This window comes from Homo sapiens, chromosome 13, assembly GCF_000001405.40.
Source record: "Homo sapiens chromosome 13, GRCh38.p14 Primary Assembly".
Classification (NCBI taxonomy): domain Eukaryota; kingdom Metazoa; phylum Chordata; class Mammalia; order Primates; family Hominidae; genus Homo; species Homo sapiens.
In genome coordinates, this window is record NC_000013.11 from 38,965,925 (window position 1) to 38,991,593 (window position 25,669).

At 38.2% G+C, this 25,669-nt stretch overlaps 1 protein-coding gene across 3 annotated transcripts; it reads right to left on the reverse strand.

The window, feature by feature from the left end:
* On the reverse strand, positions 1–24,907 carry STOML3 (stomatin like 3). 3 transcript variants are annotated; one of them, NM_001144033.2, is made up of 8 exons: positions 24,746–24,907; positions 14,128–14,211; positions 10,770–10,873; positions 10,616–10,688; positions 6,588–6,670; positions 4,261–4,464; positions 2,476–2,610; positions 1–1,125 (listed from the first exon to the last, which is right to left on the reverse strand). In NM_001144033.2, the coding sequence occupies exons 2-8, from the start codon at positions 14,150–14,152 to the stop codon at positions 901–903; spliced, it is 849 nt and encodes a 282-aa protein (NP_001137505.1). In that variant the 5' UTR covers positions 14,153–14,211; positions 24,746–24,907; the 3' UTR covers positions 1–900. The 3 variants fall into 3 exon arrangements, with proteins under 3 accessions (NP_001137505.1, NP_660329.1, XP_016875889.1); NM_145286.3 differs by lacking the exon at positions 14,128–14,211; XM_017020400.1 differs by lacking the exons at positions 10,616–10,688; positions 14,128–14,211; positions 24,746–24,907 and having other exon boundaries at positions 10,770–10,844.
* Positions 24,908–25,669: the final 762 nt, after the last annotated feature.

Sequence of the window (25,669 nt, forward strand, 5' to 3'; positions counted from 1 at the left end):
TAACTTTTGAAATTCATTTATATTCTATGCCTTCTTTGTTTTGAACAGGTTATTTGGCAGGTGGGGGAGGGGATGTGGATAGAGTTCACAAACATTCTCGATTACCTGTGGCTCCTGGGACTAAGAACAGAGTGAAAACATGAAATCCCCAGGGTGATGCTCCTCAGTGGTTTCAACCAATGCAACCTTTCCAAGCATTCTCCCTTGTAAGCAAATAAATTGACAGGAGCTGGCCACTTTCATGTGCCTTTTCCCACCCTCTGATAATGGTGCTGGAAGGTGGAGAGTTGGCCACTCCCTGCAGGACACACAGCAAGAGACCTGGACTGTGAGCTCATCGCAGTTTGCCTTGTGGCACGGGGGACATGTTTGAGCCTGGAAGTTTCCATACTTCTTTTGTTCTTAACATCAAAATCAATCTCTGTTTTCAGCATTGTGGGGTTTGATTGCAACCATTGGAGATTTAGCAAATAACAACTTCGGAATTATAAAGCGAACATATAGTGTAAATATGAGGCCTATGTTACTCTATAAATTATCTGGAGTGCTTTTTAAAACAATTAAAAAGTAATTCTGAAACATTAGTCATAGTCACCCAATGATTTCTTCTCATACTACCAGAAAGTTCCTGCTATAAAGTCGGAGACCACCACTAATTAATTATATAAGAATATTACAAAGTTGATTATGGTCCTAAAAATAAAAGTAATATACAGGTCTCATTTTTGCTCTTTTTTTCTTCTCTGTATAGCCTCTAGAGCTTTTTCCTGCCAATGCTCTTCCATCTATGGAGTTACTGTTACATGAACAGTGTTGGAATTCTCACCGTTTCTAACTACTGGCTTCTCCATAGGAATAGACACCACTCTCTATGCAATAGCTGACTACCGCAAGAGGACCTCAGGCTTTATTTGGAAGCTTCTTGTGGTTATCATAGCTGACGCCACCAATGCCCTCTAGTATATTCATGGGCAGAGGAAACACAATCGTAGAATTCTTCTCGGTGGCTACCGTGCTCAAGGTCTGCAGGTAGCGCAGCTGGAGAGCTATGGGAGACTCAGCCAGCACCATGGAGGCTGACTTCAGGGATTTGGAAGCATTCATTTCTCCTTCAGCTGCAAGGACCTGAAATGACAGAAATAAAATCGTTCAGAAATAAAAGTTTACACTATAACTAGTTCTTTCTTTTTCTGGGTCTGTATTGATACCCCTCTCCCCAGCCCCCATGTTGCCACATGTGTTTCATCTACTTCTTTGGCGAGGATAAGTTTCACTTCCTAACATAATTAGAGAAATTCAAGGAGGTTGCAGGAAGCAAGGAGGGATATTGTACAAATCGTAGGTCCCTAGATTTTATCATCAAACAAAAATAAAAGTACTCTCTTGAATACAAATGAATACTTGGCATCTACCCTAATAATGCCTGGAAGCACTTTGGAGCCTCACTACTTGCTGCATTCATTTCCAGAGAAGTCTGAAATTTAAGGCCTCTAACTGATGTTTTTATCATTTTTAGTTATCTTAGATGTTTTTAAGTTCATTCTGTTGCCACTTTGGTGTCATTCTTACAAACCGAGAATTGTTTCTAGTTCTCTTGGCTCTTGATTACAAGCAGCAATAAGTGCCAGCCTTGTAACACTGGCAATCTCTTAAGTACATCACTCTTTATAGCTCTCAGACTGTCCAGGAGTGATTCAGCTGCCTCATCTGTGGCCATCTGCCTGTGTGCAAAAGTGATCTCTCTTCTATCATTGCCGAGTCCCTTCCTGGAAGCTGCTGGAGCTTAGCAGATAAACCAGATTTGAGTCAAAGAAACACCTTCATCAGCTAACAAGTAAGTTTCCAAAGAGGATACACAAAGGCTTGGGATCCCAGTAGATTTCTGATACTTCAGGAAAGTTATCCACACAGGCATGAAAGTCAGAATCTCAACAGATTTCAAGGACATTCAGAGCCAGGGTGCACTTACATTTTGTAATTCTTACCTGGATTGTATTTAATTGCCCCCTTTTATTCCAGCAACGTTTAATATACAAGAACAACAATGCGCAAAAGACAGGTTCCATGTTGGCTACATCTAAGTCACCAGCTTTATGAAAATAGAGGTTTCTTAGCCCACTCAAGACTGCTTCAAGCCTGGGTTTGAAGTAAGGCTTGGAAATTGGTATTTTGTTTTGTTTTGTTAAATTCTCCCCAGGGAACACTGATATGCGGCTAGAGTTGGGACCTACTTGGCTAAGTTGCTCAGTACGTTACTGAGCATCCTCTTAACCCAAGACCTGCTACCAAACTTCCTCAAGGTACAGTAAGCTGCTGGTTACCTTTTAATTCAGGGAAAATTCTCAGTAAAACTGTGAAAAGAAACCCCTTTCTCATGCAAATAATTGACAGACCCAATCTTCTGTTCAAGTCCTATCCTTGTTGGCCCCAACACTAGGCAGTTCTCCCTCCATGTGTGAACTGCACAACACTTACCTTGGCTCTCGCTTCCCGGGTGGCCTCAGCCTCGGCTGCCATGGATCTCTGCAACTGCACGGGAATCCGAACATCTTTGATTTCCACTCGGGCCACCCGGATCCCCCACAGTTCGGTGGCATCATCAAGTAAAGTCTGTTTCCAAATTAAAAGGGAAGACTAATAAGAAAGACAGGTGATATGATGTATGTTTCTGATATGTTTTATACTTTCAAGATACATTTTTCTTTTTTTTCTTTTTCTTTTGCATTTACAGCATTTGGAGTGAGACAATTTAGGAAGAGAATAAGAGTTAATATTCTTATTGATCATTTTTTGGAATTTAAAGTGAATCTCTTTAAGAATTCAGGAATTAAATCTGGCAGACCTTTTAGTGGGTGTCTATCAGCAGGATCTACCCCAAAACCAATCCCAAGGAGGTATATGAGATCCATCTAGATTTGAGAAAATATCCCAAATGTGCTTGTACCTGGTATCAAGCAGGCAGCAATGAACGGGTTTCTCAGACAGACCTGGATTTTGCTTTGGCTCTGCCATTTGCAGTTGTGAATCATAGGGACAGTTTCTTAACTTATCTGGCTCTCAGTTTTCTTACCTATAAAAGGTTTTCTTTCAGGACTGTTATTAGATATGGAGACAATACATATAAGATATCTCTCAGTACCCAGCAATGACTCAATGCATATTATTATTGGGTCCTTTTTGAGATATTATTTATCTCGCTCTGTTTAACTTCTGCTCTATGGCCAGCTTTAAAGAAGCAAGGCATATTTTTCAAGGCAGAAGCAGCCTAAAGTCAAAGATACTCTTGTCTTTCGTAAAAGCTTAAAACCATTGAAGATATCTTGCTGGTCATCCTGGAGAAGATGAGTGTCTTGAGAAATGGTAGGATCAAAAGGATAGCTCCCCTAAAGAGGTGGGGGCAGTGATCCCTCCCTTGCCTTTCTGTGATCCCTGCAGGATATGACACCTGAGATACTGAGACCTCACAAGAAGTCAGTGACCTGGCTGTGGATGGGATACCTTTGAGTTGTTAAATTCGTGGGGCACATATAAACAATATGGAGAATTATCATGCAGAACTCCTACTGCCTTATAAAAGCTTGGGACCTTTCCTCTACTGTAGGGACTAGAGGAGAGGCCAAGAAGAACCAAAGCTGAATTTCTTTATATAATTGACTTACAGAAAGGAAGCTCAGAACCCAAATGTAATTCATCTAAGAAAATACAGAAGTATTCTTGTCCATAAACTCGTGTGTGTGAGAGATGAGATCGATAGCTGTTACCTCTTTATTGATATCATAATTATCATTACTATTAATGTTATTAGTGATATTGGTGGCATGGTGTAAGAATTTCTAGAGATGATAGGTCTATGCTGTCTCAATTGAATTTAACTTTCACACTTTATTTAAATATATAGGCTACCTGAGAAATGGCTGCACTTCTGGAATAATCTAACCTAAAAATAAATCTGATCTCTAACTTCTTCAAAAAAGACTATACTTGTAAGACGTTAATTCATAAGTTTGAATTCCAAAGAAAATGGATAAGGAGCACATTTTCAGCAACTGCTTTCTTGCACTCAGATATTTAAATATATTTCTTGCAGTAACAGGTAAGTGAAATCACAACTGAAGCTCACCTCTAGAGCAGTTGTCTGTGTGTGAGTGTGTGCAAGCATGCATGTGGTGGGGGATGCTTTGAACTGCTGACATTTAATAATCACTGATAATTAAAATTAACAAGTTAAAGATACAGGCTATTAGTTCATGGTGTCTTTACCTGGATGCTATGGGCGATCTCTTCTCGTCCAGCTAAGATCTGGGACAAGGTCTGTGTCCCTAAGACATTTCTCAGAGTGGTTTGAGCCAGCAGAAATGTTGCTTGATGGACATCGTTGACATTAGCCACTGCTGAGACAGCACTATAGATTCTGTAATAGACAACTCCATCTACCTGAGTAGTTACGGAGTCTCTGGTGAGGATCTGTGGAGTAAGAACAGGGCAAAATCACTTATTTATGACTTTCACCACTACTGACAAAGTGACAGCCAGCCCAAGAGCCATCCTCCACAGAAGGAGAGCAGTAACGACAACTCATGCTACAGTCACCTAAAACCTGTCCTGGCTTGGATAGAATATCTTCCCAGCTGATACGCAATTCCTCTAAAGATGTCATCATACCTACCCCTGTGACTTCATCTTTAAGAAGCTTTTACATCCTATAGGCAGAAACCCTTGACTTGACATGCTAAGAACAGGCCCTTCCATTTTAAATGTTAACAGTACAGCCCTTGTGTCATTCTATTATCTTCAGTCTTCTAAGCAGAAGTAGAACACTTGTTTCCCTGATACCTGTACTCTTTTTTCTTTTCAGTTTTTATCAGACTTGAAGCAGTGATTCTTAGAAAACATAGATGGCACCAGAGACCATGTAAAGAAAAATCGATTTCGCTCTATGGAGAGGCTCAGCATCAATCATTCTGAATAATGTGACAGGATGTTTTGGAGCAAATGAGAGATTTCTGGGTATACTATGGAAGCAGAACCTAGAACTGTCCATTACAGAGCTAGAAAAGTCCCTACTGTAGGTCACTAAGCATCCCAACCTCTCCTGACTGCAGCTGAATTCTTTCTTTTTTTTTTTTGAGATGGAGTTTGGCTCCGTCACCCAGGCTGGACTGCAGTGGCGCAATCTCTGCTCACTGCAACCTCCGTCTCCCAGGTGCAAGTGACTCTCCTGCCTCAGTCTCCTGAGTAGCTGGGATTACAGGTGCATGCCACCATGCCCAGCTAATTTTTGTATTTTTAGTAGAGATGAGGTTTCGCCATGTTGGCCAGGCTGGTCTTGAACTCCTGACCTTAAGTAATCCTCCTGCCTCAGCCTCTCAAAGTGCTATGATTACAGGCGTGAGCCACCATGTCTGACCTGGGGCTGAATTCAAAAGTAAGTATTCTGCAGTTCCTAAGTGACATGAAGACATCATGTTTGAGTCCTGGTTGAGTTTCCTGAACCAGACAGAAGAAAATTAACATATATTTATAAATGTTGATTTTCGTCTTCTTATCACCATTGCCCTCCCATATCGTAGGTCCTGAATTTCTCTTCCTCTAACCTGAACCACTTTGGTTATGAGAGGGTGATATGATAATTGGTAACTCTATTCCTCTTCCCTATTGCTGAGTTACTATTTTGGTTATTTACTTGTAGTACTTCAAGAATTAAAAGACTTATGTGGGCTGGGTGCAGTGGCTCAGGCCTTTTATGCCTGCACTTTGGGAGGCCGAAGCAGGCAGATTACCTGAGGTCAGGAGTTCGAGAGACCAGTCTGGCCAACATGGTGAAACCCTGTCTCCACTAAAAATACAAAAATTAGCTGGGCGTGGTGACAGGCACCTGTAATCCCAGCTACTTGGGAGGCTGAGGCAGGAGAATCACTTGAACCCGGGAGGTAGAGGTTGCAATGAGCCGAGATTGCACCACTGCACTCCAGCCTGGGCGACAAGAGTGAAACTCTGTCTCAAAAGAAAAAAACAAACAAACAAAAAAAAGACTTACGCAAAATACAAACACAAGTGGGCCCTGTACAGCCTCTCCTCTGTCCTTATGCCTGCCCCCTCTATTGCATCCAAACACAGAAATAATTTAAAGTCAGAAGCAAATGTGACTCATGTGGATATTACAAAAAATTCTGAGAAGGTGATAGAGAGGGTGGTATCAAAACCAGCCACTGCCTTCCATCTGCCCTCTGTCAGATTCAATTCAGCTCCTTCATACAGTGACTGTCTGTCTCTTCCAAGCCTCTGCTCTGTCATTCTCCATCCCAGCTTCCCTGCTAACTAGATCTCTGCTGTCAGGCTTTCTCACACCAGGCCATTCTAAGTCTTCTAGCAATTCAGCCCTTGCTCTTGGCTTCATTCTCATTTGGCAAAACACATTCTTTGTAGTTTTGGGAGCCACCAAGGAAGGGCAATTCAAGCAGGTCTCTGCGGGTACTCAGCTCATCTTCCCTCCTATAGTTTAAAAGTGAACTATAAAATTGTAATTGTCCTTATAATAGAGAAAATACAAGTTTAATTTCGAGTGACATATCCTTAATCAGTACTACCTCTTGTGGAGGAATGTTGCAAGTAACTGTTCGGAGGTCAACTTTGACAAACACATCTATGCATGGCAGGACCAGGATCAAACCTATGAGAGAAAAAATCAGTTTAAAATGTTGCTCTGTTGAAAATAACTACAAGTAGTCTCATAGCAGCATAGTGCATCATTTACATGGGGCGATACATGTTTCTCAGATGATCCTCAATATGCACACATGAAACTCTGAGGAAAATGATTTCATCCTCTAGGTCAGTGACTAAAGAAAAGTAATTGCCTGCGAAGTGAAGTCTTTTGGTAAGAAGCTAAAGATCCCTGACATTTAATTTTTGGTTTTTATTTTTAAAACAATCTACTTCTATCCAAGTGTTTAATTGGACATTAACTAAAAATAATATTCTGACCAATTGTGAAAAGCATCTTTGGGACAAGTGGAAAATTTGAACACAGAATGCATATTAAAAGATGTTAAGGCTGGGCGCGGTGGCTCACGCCTGTAATCCCAGCACTCTGGGAGGCCGAGGCAGGCAGATCACCTGAGGTCAGGAGTTCAAGACCAGCCTGGCCAACATGGTGAAGCCCCGTCTCTACTAAAAAAAAAAAAAAAAAAAAAAAAAAAAAAAAAAAATTATCTGGGCATGGTCACACATGCCTGTAATCCCAGCTACTCGGGAGGCTGAAGCAGAAGAATTGCTTGAACCCAGGAGGCAAAGGTTGCAGTGAGCCAAGATCGTGCCACTGCACTCCAGCCTGGGCAACAAAAGCAAAACTCTGTCAAAAAAAAAAAATTAAGGTGTTCTTGTTCATTGTACTGGTTGTGATAATGGCATATGTCTTAGTCTGTTCAGGCTGCTGTAACAAAATACCATAAACTGGGTGGCTTATAAACAACAGAAGTTTATTTCATATAGTTCTGCAGCCTGGGAAGTCCAAGATCAAGATGCTCATAGATGCAGTGTCTTGTGAGGGCCCATTTCCAGATTTATAGATGGTCATGTGGTGTCCTGGGAGGGACATGACAGCTCCCTGAGACTTCCTTTACAAGGCCACTAATTCCACTCGTGAGGGTGATTCCCTTATGATCTAATTACCTCCCAGGGTCCTCACCTCCTAATATCATTACACTGCTGATTGGGTTCAACCTATGAATTTTGGGGGGACACAAATACTCAGACCAAAGCAGCATGGTGTTAATAAAGTTCTTATCAGCTAGATATACAGACTAAAGTGTTTAGAGGAAAAATGACATGATCTGGTATTCTGTATTTGCTCTAAAATACTGCACCAAAAAAATAAAATATTTTGGAAAGTAGTTTTCTTATAATAAAGATACTTATGTAACAGATTCAAGTAATAGATTTGGCTTTGAATATCAGTGACTGCCAACATTCTCAGTCAATTTAAATAGTAATGAAGGATTATTGAATTAAAATCTTCCCAGGGTCTCACATTCCTCTAAATCAATGTATTCCAGAGTTAATAGTTTATCCACAGCCATGATCTAATTCATGTACAATAGCATTCTCCTGCTGTAAACACATCTACTTCTTTCTGATTTGTGAGGCATTAAGTTGGAGCTGGGTCAGGGAAGGATGGGCATAAGAAAGTTCATTTAAGGACCCTGGGAACTCTTAACATTAACCTGGTGAATGTTGTTCTTTACTGTGAGAGCTACAAAGATTAGAACCACAAGGAATGTCAGCAAGATGGGGACACTAATATATTTCCATTAATCAAAAAGGCTTTGCATTATTGTTTTTGTTTTCACAGCAGAAACCAGTTCTGGGGCCAAACACCGTGTAAAGGGGTGGCAGTATCACCACCCCTTTACACAGTGTTTGGTGAAGTGCTTTCTTTCTTTTGGCCTCTAAACCTTACTTCCATTTTTGGTGCCAGGTCACTGTGGTTAAGATCATGGACCTGAGAACTAGACAGAGTTAAGTCCCAACCTACTACCTAGTAGCCTTGTGACCAGGGAAAACTCACCTAACACTTCGGTTACCTAATATATATAAGCTGGTAGTGAAGATTAAGCATGATTCAACATCATGATGAAATAAAGTACTAAATACAGTGCCAGGTATGTATTAAATGCTCATGAAGTGTCAGTTATTATTCAAGAATAATTTACAATTTATGAAAGTGGAGAGGTTTTCCATTAGCAATTTGGCTTGTTTCCCTCTTGTCCTTATGACATGCTGAGGTAACTCATTAACCCCAGAGACACGTATGACGAGAGTTGTTATCCTGAGACATTTAATAGTGAAATCTTAGGGGAAAATTCATTTAAAAATGGTATATTTTTCTCTAGAGGCCTCCAAGTTCTGTCTGTTCTGCTTCTCTTGGATCCAATTTTATTTTAACTTATAATCTTAGCCCCACCAGGTGGAACACAACCAGGAGGAAGTTAATCCTGGGCTGTTATACCTCAGTTGAATGACTCTTGCTTTGCCAAACTCACAAGAACATCTATAAGTAGTTTTTACCTTCTTTTTCTTAGGTCCTTTATGAAATTAGACAAGTAAGATTATACTTGAAATGGCTGCTGGGCGTGGTGGCTCATGCTTGTAATCCCAGCACTTTGAGAGGTCGAGACGGGCGGATCACCTGAGGTCAGGAGTTCAAGACCAGTCAGGCCAACATGGTGAAACCCCATCTCTACAAAAATTAGCCGCTTATGATAGTGGGTGCCTGTAATCCCAGCTACTCGGGAGGCTAAGGTGAGAAAATCACTTGAACCTGGAAGGCAGAGGTTGCAGTGAGCCGAGATCACGCCACTGCACTCCAGCCTGGGCGACAGAGCGAGACTCTGTCTCAGAAAAAAAAAAAGAAAAACAAAAAAAAGAAGGAAAGCCAAGAAGCCTCCTTCACAAGCTTCTCCTCTTGAAGTTTCCCATAATTTTTTTATATATTAACAGATCCATGGCTTATGGCCAAGGGCAAAGCACATAGAGCATCGTGGTGCTCAGGAAAGTTCCTACCCCGAGACCTTCCAGTCGCAGAGAGAACAATTTATTCAAATAAGCCATAATGGGGGCAGAAAGCAAATGTTATCAGAGAAATATAGCTAGTAACAATTGCTTTTCATATGCCTTCTAAGACAGTGCTTTTGATAGCCCCTCATTTCCAGAGTATTAGAATTAATCCCATGAAATTGCCATATTTGGGAGTCAAAACAAATTTAGCAATTTCCTATGGTTCAACTAGATATATGCTCAGAGAAGTTATGAGTATTAAATCAATATCTTACTTCGGGGAGTTTTAGTACCTTATAGTTTTAGTATCCACCCCAACCCCGGGCAAAAACAAAAAACAAACAAAGAAATAAAACCACCTTCTTTTAAAACATGACTATTTGGAATATTTTCTTTTTCAAGGTGGTAAAGAAAGGATGGAAATAAACACTATACTATACTAGATGTTAGAAGGCCTGAAAACTCATCTTTATTTCTAACTGTAAGAATAATCTTAGACAACTCATCAAACTTATGTTGGCCTCATGTTCTTTGTTTTCAAAACCAAGGGATTTGGCCAAAGGCGCCGTACAATGGCTTCCAGCTCTATCTTTCTATGTGTCTACTTGCCATGAGAGGAAATTACCTTTTGCTTTTCCATTAGCCCTTTTCAAAGAGTGAGCATCAAACACCAGCTCTCAATATACTCTCCTTGAGTAACTTAATAGTGTGCGTTGGCCATTTACTTTGCCTCTTATTCTTCCCACATTCTCCTGGTGGCCCTGGTAATAAGTGACATTCAGCCAATGTAACCAGAGCCACCCTTTGCTCACATTCACTGAATCTCTCAGAGGGAGACTTAGGAGGCCGGGCCAGATTTCCAAACTCTCAAACTGGTGGTCATTCCCACTGACTTGCATTAAAAGGTGGCATTCTTCTGTTGTACCAAAAGGCAAGAGCCCCAGCTTCTAGCAATTTTTCTTTGACTCTCAATAGGCACCACCAGGAAAAATATTGAAGGTGGTAGCAGTAGTATTAGGTGTCCCTGATCTTTCAGGGGCAGCCACCGCGTCATTCATACCTGGCCCCTTGGCTTTGTCAGCTTGGATGCGTCCCAGACGGAATACAACAGCACGTTCATACTCCTTAATGATCTAGGAGATTAAGGGCGAACGTTTAGTCCTAATGGTTTGTCAGTTCATATAGATAGCCCAGTTTATTTCCCAGGGTGTTACCTTCAAGCACATCCATATGGAGATGGGGAAGGTAATGATCACCAACAGGAAAGAGAGGGAAAACAGGATCCAGCCACATACACCAAGCCGTTTATTGTTGACACCTAGGAAATGAGAAGGAAGCAAATATGTGATCAATGTGGTTATTAAAAAAGCCACCCAGCTGCATGGGTGTGGAACCTATCCAGACAGCTGGCCAAGCCTGATGTGGCTGCATAGAAAACCTAAATCCATTTACACCATGGATGTAGTCACACACACGTACATACATTCAAATGTTTATTCAGGTTTTTAAAAATTAAAATTGACTTATTCCTTCCAAGAAAAATATCATAACAATAAACAGAAATAATTATTATTACATTTTATAGGGCTGCCATGGTTTATTATTCTCAAAACACATAAACAGTGGTTCTCAAAATGTAATCTCTGGACCGTCCACACCAGAATCATCAGATGTCTGGGTCCTGTGAATTCTCGAGGTAAAATTCAAAGCACCCTTTAAGGCAGGTAGGTAAGTACTATTATCCCCAGAGGGAGACAATGTGGTACATGGAAAAATATCCTGCAAAATCCTGAGGTATGAGTTTTTATGTGAGCTCTGTCACTTACCAATTCTAAAGCATTAGGATAGAAGACCACTCAGTCTCTGGGTTTCTGTTTCTTCATCTGTAGAATGGGGCTAGAAGTTACCCGCCTTAGAGAATTTGATGAGGATTAAATAAGATTACTTTTATATGGCTCCTGGGCCATACATTAACATTTACAGTTTTAAACAGGTATTCTACTTTTATTCCCATTTCCAGATGAATATGTATTCCAGGGACTTGTTGTCAGATGTTGATATTTGCCCTTTCTAACTTTTCATAAAAGTTTTGTTATGTTGGCTCATCACATAAGATCTCTTCTCGCTAATCACACATTATGATAGCAGGTGCATTTTGGCTTAATGAATATTGCTTTGCAATAAGATGAGACTGAGTTAAAATCCTACTTCAGCCACCTAAAACTCTGTAGCTTTACTTACATCAATTATATAATTTCTGAAGTCTCCGGATTTTTTTTTTTTTTTTTTTTTTTTTTTGAGACGGAGTCTCGCTCTGTCGCCCAGGCTGGAGTACAGTGGCGCGCTCTTGGCTCACTGCAAGCTCCGCCTCCCGGGTTCGCGCCATTCTCCTGCCTCAGCCTCCCGAGTAGCTGGGACTACAGGCTCCCGCCACCACACCTGGCTAATTTTTTGTCTCTTTTAGTAGAGGCGAGGATTCACCATGTTAGCCAGGATGGTGTCAATCTCCTAACCTTGTGATCTGCCCGCCTCAGCCTCCCAAAGTTCTGGGATTACAGGCGTGAGCCACCGCGCCCGGCCAGGGATCCTTGTTTGTAAAATAAGCAGGTCTGGCTGACCCTTTTAATTTAGAATTCTTTATAGTCACCATTTTATCTCCTTTAATTATTTTTACTTTTATTTTTATTTTTTTGAGACAGAGTCTCATTCTGTCGCCCAGGCTGGAGTGCAGTGGCGCAATCTCGGCTCACTGCAACTTCCATCTCCCAGGTTCAAGTAATTCTCCTGCCTCAGTCTCCTGAGTACCTGGGATTACAGGCACCTGCCACCACGCCTGGCTAATTTTTGTATTTTTAGTAGAGACGGGGTTTCGCCATGTTGGCCAGGCTGGTGTCGAACTCCTGACCTCAAGTGATTCTCCTGCCTTGGCCTCCCAAAGTGCTGGGATTACAGGCATGAGCCACTGCACCTGGCCCATTTTGCCTCCTTTTAAATCCTTGTTCCTCCTTATTCCCTTCTCCTTGACAACCAACCCCATTCGCATCCCATGATCTCCTCCAGCTGATTTATATTCTCCATACACAAGCACTAGGACTAGATATCCCCAGCCAGCTCACCCTACAAACGCCATATACTGTCTATCTCAGTTAATGCCTTCACCATCCACCCCTTTGCCCAGGTTAGGCAGGTCATCATTGCCTCTTCCCTATCCAGTTGCAGAAAGTCACTAAACCTAAATGATACTACCTCAAATCCATCCCCAGTTACCCATTTTACTCCTACTAATTTTTTGAGACCTGAGCCAAATTCATGAATATTTAGGAGAATTCTGGGTTTTTGCTCTTATAAGCGATGTTTTGATGAATGTTTTTAAATGTGTGTTTTTGTGCACTTGTGTAGGATAAATCCCTGGTAGTAGAACTGTTAGGTCATACAATTTTGATAGATGATAAATGCCTTTCAAAAAGTTTGTACCAACCTCCACGCTCACCAACAGCATAGAAGTGCTTATTCCCACATGTCCTTTTCTCCTTAAATCATTTCAACCTTCTCAGTCGTTACTTTCTGATAGGTGAAAATAACTACATTTTAGATACATATTTTGTATTAAAACCTTTTGAGTACAAATGGCCTTTTATATGCTCCAAATACATACATATTCTGAACAATAAGGGCTTGCCTGAATACTCTGAAATTTAAATTTCTAAAATATCACCTCCCAAAGCTTTGGACCCACATGGAGGTGAATCAGACTATCATTACACAAGATGGAAAGACACTTTATGCATTCTCATAGAATCTTTGTCAAATTTTATTAGTGCTTTTTTAGTATTCATGACAGAGCCTATAGATATACATTCTCATTGGAAAAAAAAATTCAAGTAACACAACTAAAGTTCCCTGAACCATCCTCTCCTCAGTCCCACTTTTATCTAGAGAAGTTCTGTAGTTACCGGTTTGGTGTGCATTCTCTATAGACCCACTCCTATGTATTTACATACATATATCTACATTTAGAAAACACTGGCTTTGATTTGTAAATTTTATTTTGTGATAATGGCATTACACTGTACCCACCTTTCTACTTTAACTTAATATATGGTGTATAGATTTCCATGGCATTACCTACTCATCTACCTCACTCTTCTTTATTGTTGCGTACTATGCCATCTTACACCTGTGTCTCAGTTTACTTACCATTCTCCTATTGATCATTAAGGTTATTTGCAATTTTGCCTATACAGACAAGGCTGTAATAACTGTGCTTATATATGTCTCACTGGGCTAATATGCATCTTTATAAAATCTTGGTAAAAGTATTGTGAAGGCAGCACAGTTCCTGTCATGTTTGGTGTGTTTCCTCCCTCCCGGCACTGAAATATTTGGTGTTCAGAAACCTTGGGCTGTTCTGGGGCTATGACTAGCAGCACAGCACACGCAGGCAGCTGGGACTCCAACAGGACACCAGCTGTGCTTAATGCCTGGAGCCAAGCCCTGGACATTTCCAAAGTAGACACAGCCTTAACACCAGCTGCACAAGCAAGTGTTTGTCACAGAGAAAATCGCACTGACCTACAAGCTCGCCTCTGGAGTTCATCAAGCCCTTGCATCATTACACGTGCACATGAGGCTCAGCTCCATTAGGTAATAGACGTGCTGAGAGAGACAAGAGAAGAGAATGTGACTATTCTTCCAAGATTTACACTGGAGCATTAGAATCACCCAGGCCGCGGCTTCTGGGAGAATTGGTGGAGCCTGGGGGTCTCATTAGCTGCCAGTTAAAGTGGGGCTGTGAGTGCTGCTGTCACCTTCCCTGCAGGCTCCCAGCTCAGCCTTGTGAGCATGCACAGCTGGGAATGAGACCACACAGAGTAACTCTTCCTGGCAGCCTTTCTCTCTCCCCACTCACTCCCACAGTTGAAACTAGGATGCTATACTGAGAACAGTTTTTGAAGATTACAATTCTGACTGAAAGGATATGCTGGGATTGTATTATTAAATACAGAGTTCTTCAGAAATCGCCCTACTTCAAGCTATACAAGGCTCTGAGGGGATGATGGAAGAAAAAGGGGCTGCACAACACCTTTTTGGTCACTAAGTGATGACCACATTTGATCATCTGTTTGAACCAAATCCACAAATGTGTGTATTCTCTGGACAGTTGTCGCATAACCATAAAGCCATGTCATATGCCTACTTCCTAGTAGAAAACTGGATTTTGCTGCCCCAAACAAATTGCCCTTGGTTTCATCATTCATTTAACAAATATGTTATCAGTTCTATGCCAAACGCTGTGCTGGAGAATAAAATGGGAAACATGCCTCTATTACAATGCCTTGGTCTTTCTTTATGCAGCTGGCAGGAAGAATCCCTCGGGCAGTTACAGAAACAATAGAAACAACAGATACTAGGTTAATTACTCTGCTGCACTTACTTCTAGGAAGTCTGCAGCTGGTGAAATATGTGGAGACTTCCCCCTGTGTGTGGCTGTGACAACAGCAGCAAAATATTTAATCAATACCTTCCTTTCAATCTGCAAAGAAAAAGGTAGAGCCATCAGCTATGGAAGCTGAGGCCCAGAGCCACTGACAAGAAGAGAGGCACCCATGAACTTCAGCTGGAAGGACTTTAGAGGTAACCAAAGCCAACTCTTCATCTTGCAACCAGAAAACTTCCTGGTTTAGTGTTGCCACCATCATCTTAATCTCTCATTAAGTAAGGTGACACCCACAAATTCCACAAACAGACAGTGGTGCGTGTCTACCTTTACTGACTTAGGGAGTGAGGCAAAGCCAAGGTTTATCGGTGGAGGCACATCCCCAGGGCATTATTCCTGGTGCTTAGATACAGCTGTTTACACCAGAGGAGATTAAATACCCTTTAGGACCAGGGCCCAACACTCAAGGCAAGATTGGCTACTTGTGTGAGCCAGGAAGTAGGAGAGAATGTTCTGTATCACTAGCCCAACTTAAATTATATTAGAAACAGAAATGAATTATAGTAAATAAAACAGCCTAGGTGACTTGCTTGCTTATTTCTCAACTTCAGCTTGGTCAAGAGTATTTAAATATTAGATCAATACTACCTACAATATTTTATCACAAATCTGTGTTATCATAAATAGTCTCTTAGTTTCTTAGCAGAAATAACTGTTAAGTATTATGACATGATTTTAAACAATCAGAATAGGATGATGTACATTACACATCAAAAAAATGAAAGTCAAAACCACCGTAAGATTCCAGTACGCAGCTACCAGAATAGTAAACATTAAAGACTGGCAATACCATGTTTAGCAAGGTTGAGGAGCAACTAGAGTACTCATATGTGCTGTTGGAAGTTAAGTTGGTACAATCACCTCAAAAACTATTTGGAAGTGTCTACTAAAGCTAAACATGTATCTACTTTATGACTCAGTATTCAACTTCCAACTAATACCTGAGAGCAATGACTACTGATGATAAAGAAAAATATGTTCAACAATGTTCATTGCCATTTTATTCACAGAAGCCAAGATATGAAGTTTGCCCAAATCCATCAACAGTAGAATGGATAAATGAAGTTGTGGTGTATTCATATTCAAAGGAATATTACTCAGCAAGAAAAAAAGACAAAACTACGGCTGTATGTAAAATATGGATGAATCTCAGAGATATAATAGTGGGCACAAAACCTTAAAGCAAATCTCAGCTTGACTAAATTTTAGACGGGCTTCTTCCTGACCCTAGGCCCCTAATCTCCCTTTTCTTAGGGCATTTTCTTTAAAAAAAAAATAATAATAATAAAACAAAAAACAACAAAAACAAAATTGTCATTATAAATTCTTTTTTCTTTGTTTTTAAAATATGTTTATTTTTTATTGTTTCATTAATGGGATATACTAGCTTATATAAACTCTTTCTCTGCCTCTTTGAGATTTAAATCTTTTGAAAAGCTTCTTGCCAGTTTCACAACCCAGGACTAAATTTCTCAAGGTCTCGGGAGCTAACCTTTGGAATATAAACATCAAAGAAAATAGCACCCCTATCTATCAGTTTCTGTTGGAAGTAAAAGCCTAACTTCAGTGGGCACCTTTCTCCGAGTTGTGAAACTACCTTGTTTCAGATAATACTTGTTATTTTCTTGTGAAAAGAAAATAAATCTTGGGACCCCAAACTCATTAAGCCAAAGGGAAACATCAAACTGGGTACTGGGTCACAAAAACCTGCCTTCGCTTTTTGGTTCCTAAATAAGATGGTTACAAGTTGAAAAGCTACACATCTCCCTCATATTTTTGCCCACAAGGAAATTCCTAGTGAGCTCCAAGATGTTTACCCTAAAGCATTTCTGTTAAAATTCACCATAGCAATGTAAATGGATAGCTTATCTTTACAATTGCATCACCCCTCTGTCCACCTGGCACAAATGCACATCTAATTGTTCCCTGTCCCATTTATCTTTGTCACCTTATATAAAATGCAGATTCCCTGAATTTTCCCCTATCTGTCTGTTACCTTATATAAAAATTCAGATTCACAGAGCCAGACACAGGCATGAGTGACTATTTTCCCCTATCCCTCTGTTACATGAAAATTGTGTACTTCTCAATACCCCACTCTTTCCTCTTTAAATTCAGTGCCCTCAAAATCATCTTCAGAGAAAGGCATAAACTTTGACAAATAAACCTCCTAAAATGACTGAGACCTGTCTCATCATTTTTGTCACGTCATAAAGATATACAAAATACACTAGATGGCTTATGACCTCCCCCTCAGGGATTCCAGTACTCTTCCAGTAGCTCACTCCAGCCTTTAAAAACCCTACCACCCCTTGCTTCAGTAGAGTTGAGCTCAGACTGAGTTCTGGCCTCTCTCCTCCATTGCAATAGCTTTGAATAAAGTCTTCCTTGGCCATTTAACTTTGTTCAGTACAGTTTTTGCTTTGAAAATGTACACTTTATTTTGTTCCATTTTTTTCTTTTACCAAATCGGATTCTAAATATCAATTGTGGATGTTCTGGTCCATCTAGATAATGGTTTCTCTATATATGCAAGAGCTAAATTTTCAAGATTATGTAATAAAAGCTCTAGACCCTTGAGGGCTTCTACTGGCTAATCTGGCCACTGACATTATAAGCTCCTTCAGATAACCCTTGGAACCTTGAGAAAAATATAGAAATATCAGGTCTTTAGTGAAGAATTAGTAAATTAGAGCTGGATGATGATCTTATTATCTACGCTAGTCCTATGAATACAAAATTCCATAATCCTAAGAGGTTTCCAAACAGGCAGATTTACATTTCAACTCCAGAAGGATGATTTGTGCTCAGTAGTTGCATGAAGTTTACAACACATTATCTACTGTATGTTCCCTTTTACCATTTGCTTTCTCTCTTTTCTTTTCTTAAAAAATACTTAAGGCATTATTTTGAAAGTGAACATTCAAAAAGGTGTAAAAATAATGCATTGAATACCTTAAACCCACCATTTGGCTTAAGAATATACACCTTGCCAACAAAATCAAAGTCCCTTTGAGCATCCTTCTTCAGGCCCTGGAGGCATCCCCCCCCACAGCAGCTTCCTCATGCTGAATACCATCACCATCACCCCAACACAGCCACAACCACAAGGCTGCCACTCAGAGCCCAGGCTTCACACACGGGCTCTTCCTACATTCGTCATTTGTTTTTCAAGTAGCAGGACTTTTGATGGTCTTTCAGTGTGGGTCTAGGTGATCCAGATGAAGGAGTCAAGCCATGTGCTAACATCACATGAATACCCCCTACAGTAGAGAAAGTAACCTAGGTCCTCACACATCTTGTCCCTTTGCACAGGTCTTTGTGTTCCTCAGCCCCCTTCTGCATCCCACATTTTCCTCAGCAGGCCTCAGCTCAAACATCCCCTTCTTTTCCAGGAAGATTTTTCTCTGTCACCCTCACCTTTGGGTGCTCCTCTTTTGAGTTTCTAATACAGTCACATACCACGTAATGATGTTTCAGTCAATGATGGACCATATATACGATGGTGGTCCCATAAGATTATAATAGTGTGTTTTTATTGTACCTTTTCTATGTTTAGATATACAAATACTTACCATAGTGTTACAACTGCTTACAGTATTCAGTACAGTGACATGCTGTACAGGTGTGTAGCCTAGGAGCCAGAGGCTGTACCCTATAGCCCAGGTGTACAGTAGGCTGTACCACTGAAGTTTCTGTAGGTACACTCTATGATGTTCTCACAATGACAAAATCACCTGACAACGTATTTCTCAGAATGTATCCTCATTGTTAAGCAGTACATGATTGTACACCCTCTATCATAACTTTTTTTATAGGACCTTGTAATTTGTAGCTAACTTTTGTGTCTTCCCTGTAAATTTTTAGTGCTCTGAATGCAGGTATTTTATTTTTTGTCTGCACCTCCTGCTTCACAGAGGATGCTGAATGGATGCAGTGCATACTTTTAAGTACTTTGAAGTACAGGATGAGGGTGATGTTCAGCAACATAATAGATTTACTGATCTGTTGGAAAGTCCTTGTATAGAAATCATGGTTCATCAGACAAGATTCTATTTTCTCTCAAAAAAGTCAATTAACCAAAGAACCATATGTCCTTGCATTTTTCTCCATACATTCCGCCTGACTGTACCCTCACTCACACATCATTTCAAGAAGAAAATAGGGCAGGGCACGGTGGCTCATGCCTGTAATCCCAGCACTTTGGGAGGCCAAGGCAGGTGGATTACCTGAGGTCAGGAGTCCAAGACCAGCCTGGCCAACATGGTGAAACCCATCTCTACTAACAATACAAAAATTAGCTGGGTGTGGTGGCATACTCCTGTAATCCCAGCTGCTCAAAAGGCTGAGGTGGGTCAATCACTTGAAACCGGGAGGCAGAGTTTGCAATGAGCCGAGATCGCGCTACTGCATTCCAGCCTGGGAAACAGAGCGAGAGAGAGACTTTGTCTCAAAAAAAAATTTAAAAAAAGAAGAAGCAAATAAAGAAAAAATGTTTTCCTTGCATCATCTTATCATTCTTCTTTCTCCCCATTCTCCCATGCTTTCAGTTCTCTCTGTTTGAAATAACAGCACTGCCAACAACAACAAATAAAAATACTTCGTCCTTGAGATTTATGTCCAAAGTCCCATTACAATGTTATTTATAACAGTGGTAAATGAAAACCACCCTGAAAATATAACAATGGAGGGATAATTAAGCAAATTATGATATATCTACACAATGTCATATTATGTATATATTTTTAAGTTTATAAAAGCATGAGAAAATAATTATGGTATGATGTTAGAAGAAACAAACAGTAAGATGCAAAATTATAGGGACAGTAGAATCACAAGTATATAGAAGTATATATATAGAATAGAAAAAATTTTGGAAGAATATTAACCAAAATATTAACAGTGGCTATTTCTTTTTTTTTTTTCTTTTCTTTCTTTTTTTTTTTTTTTTTTTTTTGTTTGAGAGAGAGTCTTGCTCTTTCCCCCAGCGGCTATTTCTAAATAATGGAAGTATAAGTGGTTTTCATTGTTCTAAGTTTTCTTTGACATATTTACCTGGTTTTTTTTTTTTTTTTTTTTGGTTTGTTTGTTTTTTGAAATGGAGTCTCACTCTGTTGCCCCTGGACATGATCTCGAGTCACTGCAACCTCTGCCTTCCAGGTTCAAGTGATTCTCCTCCCTCCCAGTAGCAGGGATAACAGAACGGCACCACCACACCCAGCTAATTTTTTTATTTTTGGTAGAAACAAGGTTTCACCATGTTGGACAGGCTGGTCTCAAACTCCTGACCTCAGGTGATCCACCTGCCTCGGCCTCCCAAAGTGCTGAGATTGCAGGCATGAGCCACTATACCTAGCCTATATTTACCATTTTTAAAAGTAAAATTTAAAATTATCATGTCAAGTTTTACAAAAAGGAAGTGCTTTGTGTTATCAAAGCAGGGAAGACCAGATGCTTCCCAGAGGAAAAATTAGAAGTATGTGGAATGAGAACAATCCCCTTTCCTGAGCTTGGGGATGAGTGTTAACCATTCTATCTCCCTTTCTATGTTCACTTCCAATCCTGTGAAGATACAGTCAGCAAATAGAACTTTAGCAAATTTCTGGTTCTCTCTGTAGAGAATGAAGGACTTTGATCATCAAAGATGAAATCTAAAGGAAAACACGAGGGGTAAACATTATCTTTTCATCCCCTGTAATTCATCTTCCCTCCTTCCTTTTTCTCTATGCACACAGCTTGCATTAAGGAACACTTTTAAGGAAAGTGCAGAATTGCTGAAAAGGAATATAGTCCTACTCAAAATGCTCTCTTAGCCTGGCAGCTAAACCAGCTCACAGGAGCTGGTTTGGATGCAAAATCTTAAGCCCAGAAGAGACACAGACTAAATACCAGAGCTTCTGGGGGTAGGGGCTAGGAATCTGTATTTTAAGGAGCTCCCCAGGAAGATTCTTTTGCATGTTAATTTTGAGAAGAGCATCTAAGATTTCTGTGATCTAGATTCCAATTCACTTTAACTCTTAGAAGACAAAACAAATCAAAAAAGAATAAAAGGGGGGCAGAAGAGAATGTCAAAGCCATTAATAGTGATGTGATAATAAATGTCTAAAAATTGGACCCTTGGGGAAAGGAAGAAAGCCTTAATTTATACCATTTCCACTGTGTAAATATCACCTACCCCTTCAGGTGATTCTAATCTACCCTTGTGAGGTCATGAGCTTGGAGTTAGAAACACATGCACACAAGTGGCTTTCAAAAGCTGGTCCAGGCCTGGCACAGTGGCTCATGCCTGTAATCCTAGCACTTTGGGAGGCTGAGGCTGGAGGATCACTTGAGCCCAAAAGTTCGAGACCAGCCTGGGCAATATGATGAAACCTGATTTCTACAAAAAAATACAAAAATTAGCCAGCCATGGTGGCGCATGCCTGTAGTCCCAGCTACTCAGGAGGCTGAGGTTGCAGTGAGCTGAGATTGCACCACTCCACTCTAGCCTGGGCGACAGAGCAAGACCCCATCTCTAAAAATAAAATAAATAAAGTGTGCCAGCAGCACACTCCCACATAATGTTCCTGCTGGAAAGGATAACAAGGGCTCAGTTATTTATATATTAAATAATTTCCTCACCATTTGTGAAGACAAATGTCTGTAATGCTTACAGGACTGAATAACATTGCCTTAATATATATATTAAGATTTTTAATATATATTATATATACTAATTATATATTATATATTATATATATTAATTCATATAACTAAATATATATAAAATATATAGTATGTATATTATATAATATATACTATTGTGTATATATTATATATTATATTTTATATATAATATATTATATTTTATATAATATATTATATTTTATATAATATATTATATGTTATATATAATATATTATATTTTATATAATATATTATGTTATATATAATATATTATATTTTATATAATATATTATGTTATATATAATATATTATATTTTATATAATATATTATATGTTATATATAATATATTATATTTTATATCATATATTTTATATATAATATATTATATTTTATATCATATATTTTATATATAATATATTATATTTTATATCATATATTTTATATATAATATGTTATATTTTATATCATATATTTTATATATTATATTTTATATCATATATTTTATATCATATATTTTATATATAATATATTATATTTTATATAAAATATATTATATTTCATATAAAATATATGATATTTTATATCATATATTTTATATATAATATATTATATTTTATATCATATATTATATATAAAATATATTATATTTTATATCATATATTTTATATATAATATATTATATTTTATATATAATATATTATATTTTATATCATATATTTTATATAATATATTATATTTTATATCATATATTTTATATAAAATATATGATATTTTATATCATATATTTTATATAAAATATATTATATTTTATATCATATATTTTATATATAATATATTTTATATCATATATTTTATATATAATATATTTTATATCATATATTTTATATATAATATATTTTATATCATATATTTTATATATAATATATTTTATATCATATATTTTATATATAATATATTATATATCATATATTTTATATATAATATATTATATTTTATATCATATATTTTATATATATTATATATTGAAATTTTATATATTTGATATCAAACACATCATTAAAAAGGTGAAAAAATAAGTGACAACTGGAAAAACATATTTGCCACTTATGTGCTGTCAGGTATATCAAGTATTCATAAGTACATATTACAAGTTATATATTATAGTATATAGTATATATAATTATATATACTATAATACATAATATATATTATATATGCTGTATTATATAATATATATTATTACATATTATATACTATACTATAGAATACATAATATATATACTATATTATACAATATATTATATATACTATATTACACAATATATTATATATACTATATTACATAATATATATCATACATTATATACTATATTATATAAGATATATGTTATATATGTTATATTGTATTATATATATTTTTTATATATATCTGAGTTGCAAGGGCAAACTTAGTCCACAGATCTCAGAGAATGGTCCACACTGTATCTCTCCTAAAAAACTACAAAAGCACAGGAAATCAGACATTGCAAATATATCAGCCCCATTTTGTTCATTCTGTGATAGTGCCAGTTTTTCATATTCAAATATCGAAACCAAGAAAACTCATGAGTACTTTCAAGAATCTCACTGATGATACAGCTTCAGTCATGCCATCTACCCAGTTGATGTCTTCACCTGTTAAAATGGAAACTAAATGTCTCATGAAGGATAAATAAGGGGACTCTTGAGATCTCCCGCTTGCATTTCCAGATGATATTTACTGCCTTCAAGCTTTTCATGCCTACTTCAAAAGAAAAGTTTCTTTTCCAATTCAGGTAAATGTCTCTAAATGTATACTTTTTCTTTTTTCTTTCTTTATTCCATTTTTTTTTCTTTGTTAGGCAGGGTCTCACTCTGTCACCCAGGCTGGAGTACAGTGGTGCAATCTCAGCTCACTGAAGCCTAAACCTCCTGGGCTCAAGCAATCCTCCCACCTCAACCTCCCACTTAGCCACAGGCATGTGCCACCACACCTGGCTAAATTTTGTATTTTTTGTAGAGATGAGTTTTTGCCATTTTGCCCAGGCTGGTCTCGAACTCCTGAGCTCAAGTGATCTGCCTGCCTTGGCCTTCCAAAGTGCTGCGATTACAGGGCATGCACCAGTGCATGCAGCCTAGTTTTTTCTTTTATGTATTAGTAATGCCAAACGTGTTCTCTATTTCTAACATGTACTATGGCTTTTTTGGCAACATAAGGTACAGAGCACAGGTTAGGTCATACACACACGCACACTCACACCATCATCACACACACACACACGCACACCATCATCATAATCACTTTCTGAACAACTTTTTAAACTTTCCAATGCTCAGTTTTCTCATTTGTAAAATGAGATTCTAAGAGGATCTACCTCAGAATTATTGTAAAATTGAAAGAGATAATGCAAGCAAAATGCTTTGTAACACATAATAGTCATTAGTATTAATGATAGTAGTTGGTACTTATAAGCTAAGTTTTTTTTCTCAACTTCTCTCCATTTATCAAACAGGATACAGCTCAAACCAACTTTTCTTTTTAATCTCAGCATCATCAGAAAATGTTTGAAGTTGGAGAAAAGTCAGCCTCTTCAACATATCTTTGTTATTTAATACAAAAAGAAGAAATACAAAGATAAACACCAATTCTATCTAAAATTGAATGAAAAATAAAGCAAGTTATAGACTGCTGTTCAAGAAGCAAATGAAATCAGCATAAGCAATGAATTCAAAATCCTGAGAAGGATTTCATACAGAAAGAAGAAATTCAAAGATAAACACCAACTTTATCTAAAATTGAAGGAAAAATAAAGCAAGTTATAGACTGCCGTTCAAGAAGCAAATGAAATCAGCATAAGCAATGAATTCAAAATCCTGGGCTATAAATGAAATTGAGGCCGATTTCTGCAAATATATCTCATACTTACTCTATACCTGTCTATAATGCTACAACTCCTGCTTTGCCATATATGTAAAAAACAAGCCTAAGACAGGAAAAAGGAACTTACCCACGAAATTCTCTTTATCTTGCTTCTCAGGTGAAGACACCCTAGAATCCATCTCATTCTTGAGAAGCTTTTATACTTGGCAATTTTTCATGGGTTTGGAGCTAAGTGTGAAGAACAGGCAGCAACTCAGATGTGCTTGGGAGAGGGGAGAGGAGAAAGTATGAGAGAGTGAAAGACATTCCTTCTCTTTAGTGAACTCCCTAAGGGGTAGTTACCCTGGTGAGGGAAGCCTGATAACATAAACAAAAAGATTTCTTTTATGAGTTCAGACTGCCTTTGTTCACAGAAAAAACTTGAAAGAATATGACCATCTGGTGGTATTGCTTCCTGTAAAATATTGCTGTGTAATTTTCTATAGCATTTATATTTCATAAAACACTTCTATGCACCTTGTATAAATCTTGTGTGATCACTGATTACACAATGACCTGTTCAATACACAGGGCAAGTGTATCCATCCTTATGTTTCAGATGAGAAAATTTAACCCAACTCATTCTAACACTGCAGTGAGTGAGCTTTTGAAACTCAAATCTGATCATGTCTTCATCCTGCTTAAAATAATCAAAAAATTGCCAACTGTCAATATTGTAAAGACCAAACTCCTAAGTGTCCTACAAGACCCTGCTGGCCTGCCCCTTCCTCCCTTTCCAGCCTCACTCATGTGTCTCTCCGTGAAGCAGCTCCATTGGTCTCCTATCAGTGCCTCCAAAGCTTGATATGTCTTCTCGCCACCGGATCTTTGCACGTGTTATCATATGCATAATTTTTTGGCTTGTGTCTGTTTCTTCTTCTAGACCAAGAATTGACAAACTTTAGCTTGCCAGCTAAATTTAATTTACCACTTGTTTTTAAAACATAAAGTGTTATTGGAACACAGTATGTCCTTTTGTTGCTTTCTTTTTTTTTTTTTTTTTTTTGAGATA

Excerpts from the sequence above, each read along its gene's own strand:
- STOML3 (NM_145286.3), bottom strand. The coding sequence starts at position 24,797 with ATGGATTCTAGGGTGTCTTCACCTGAGAAGCAAGATAAAGAGAATTTC. Across the intron at positions 10,689-10,769 it reads CCATATGGATGTGCTTGAAG|ATCATTAAGGAGTATGAACG; the intron begins GTAACACCCTGG and ends TTAATCTCCTAG. Across the intron at positions 2,611-4,260 it reads AGATCGCCCATAGCATCCAG|ACTTTACTTGATGATGCCAC; the intron begins GTAAAGACACCA and ends ATTTGGAAACAG.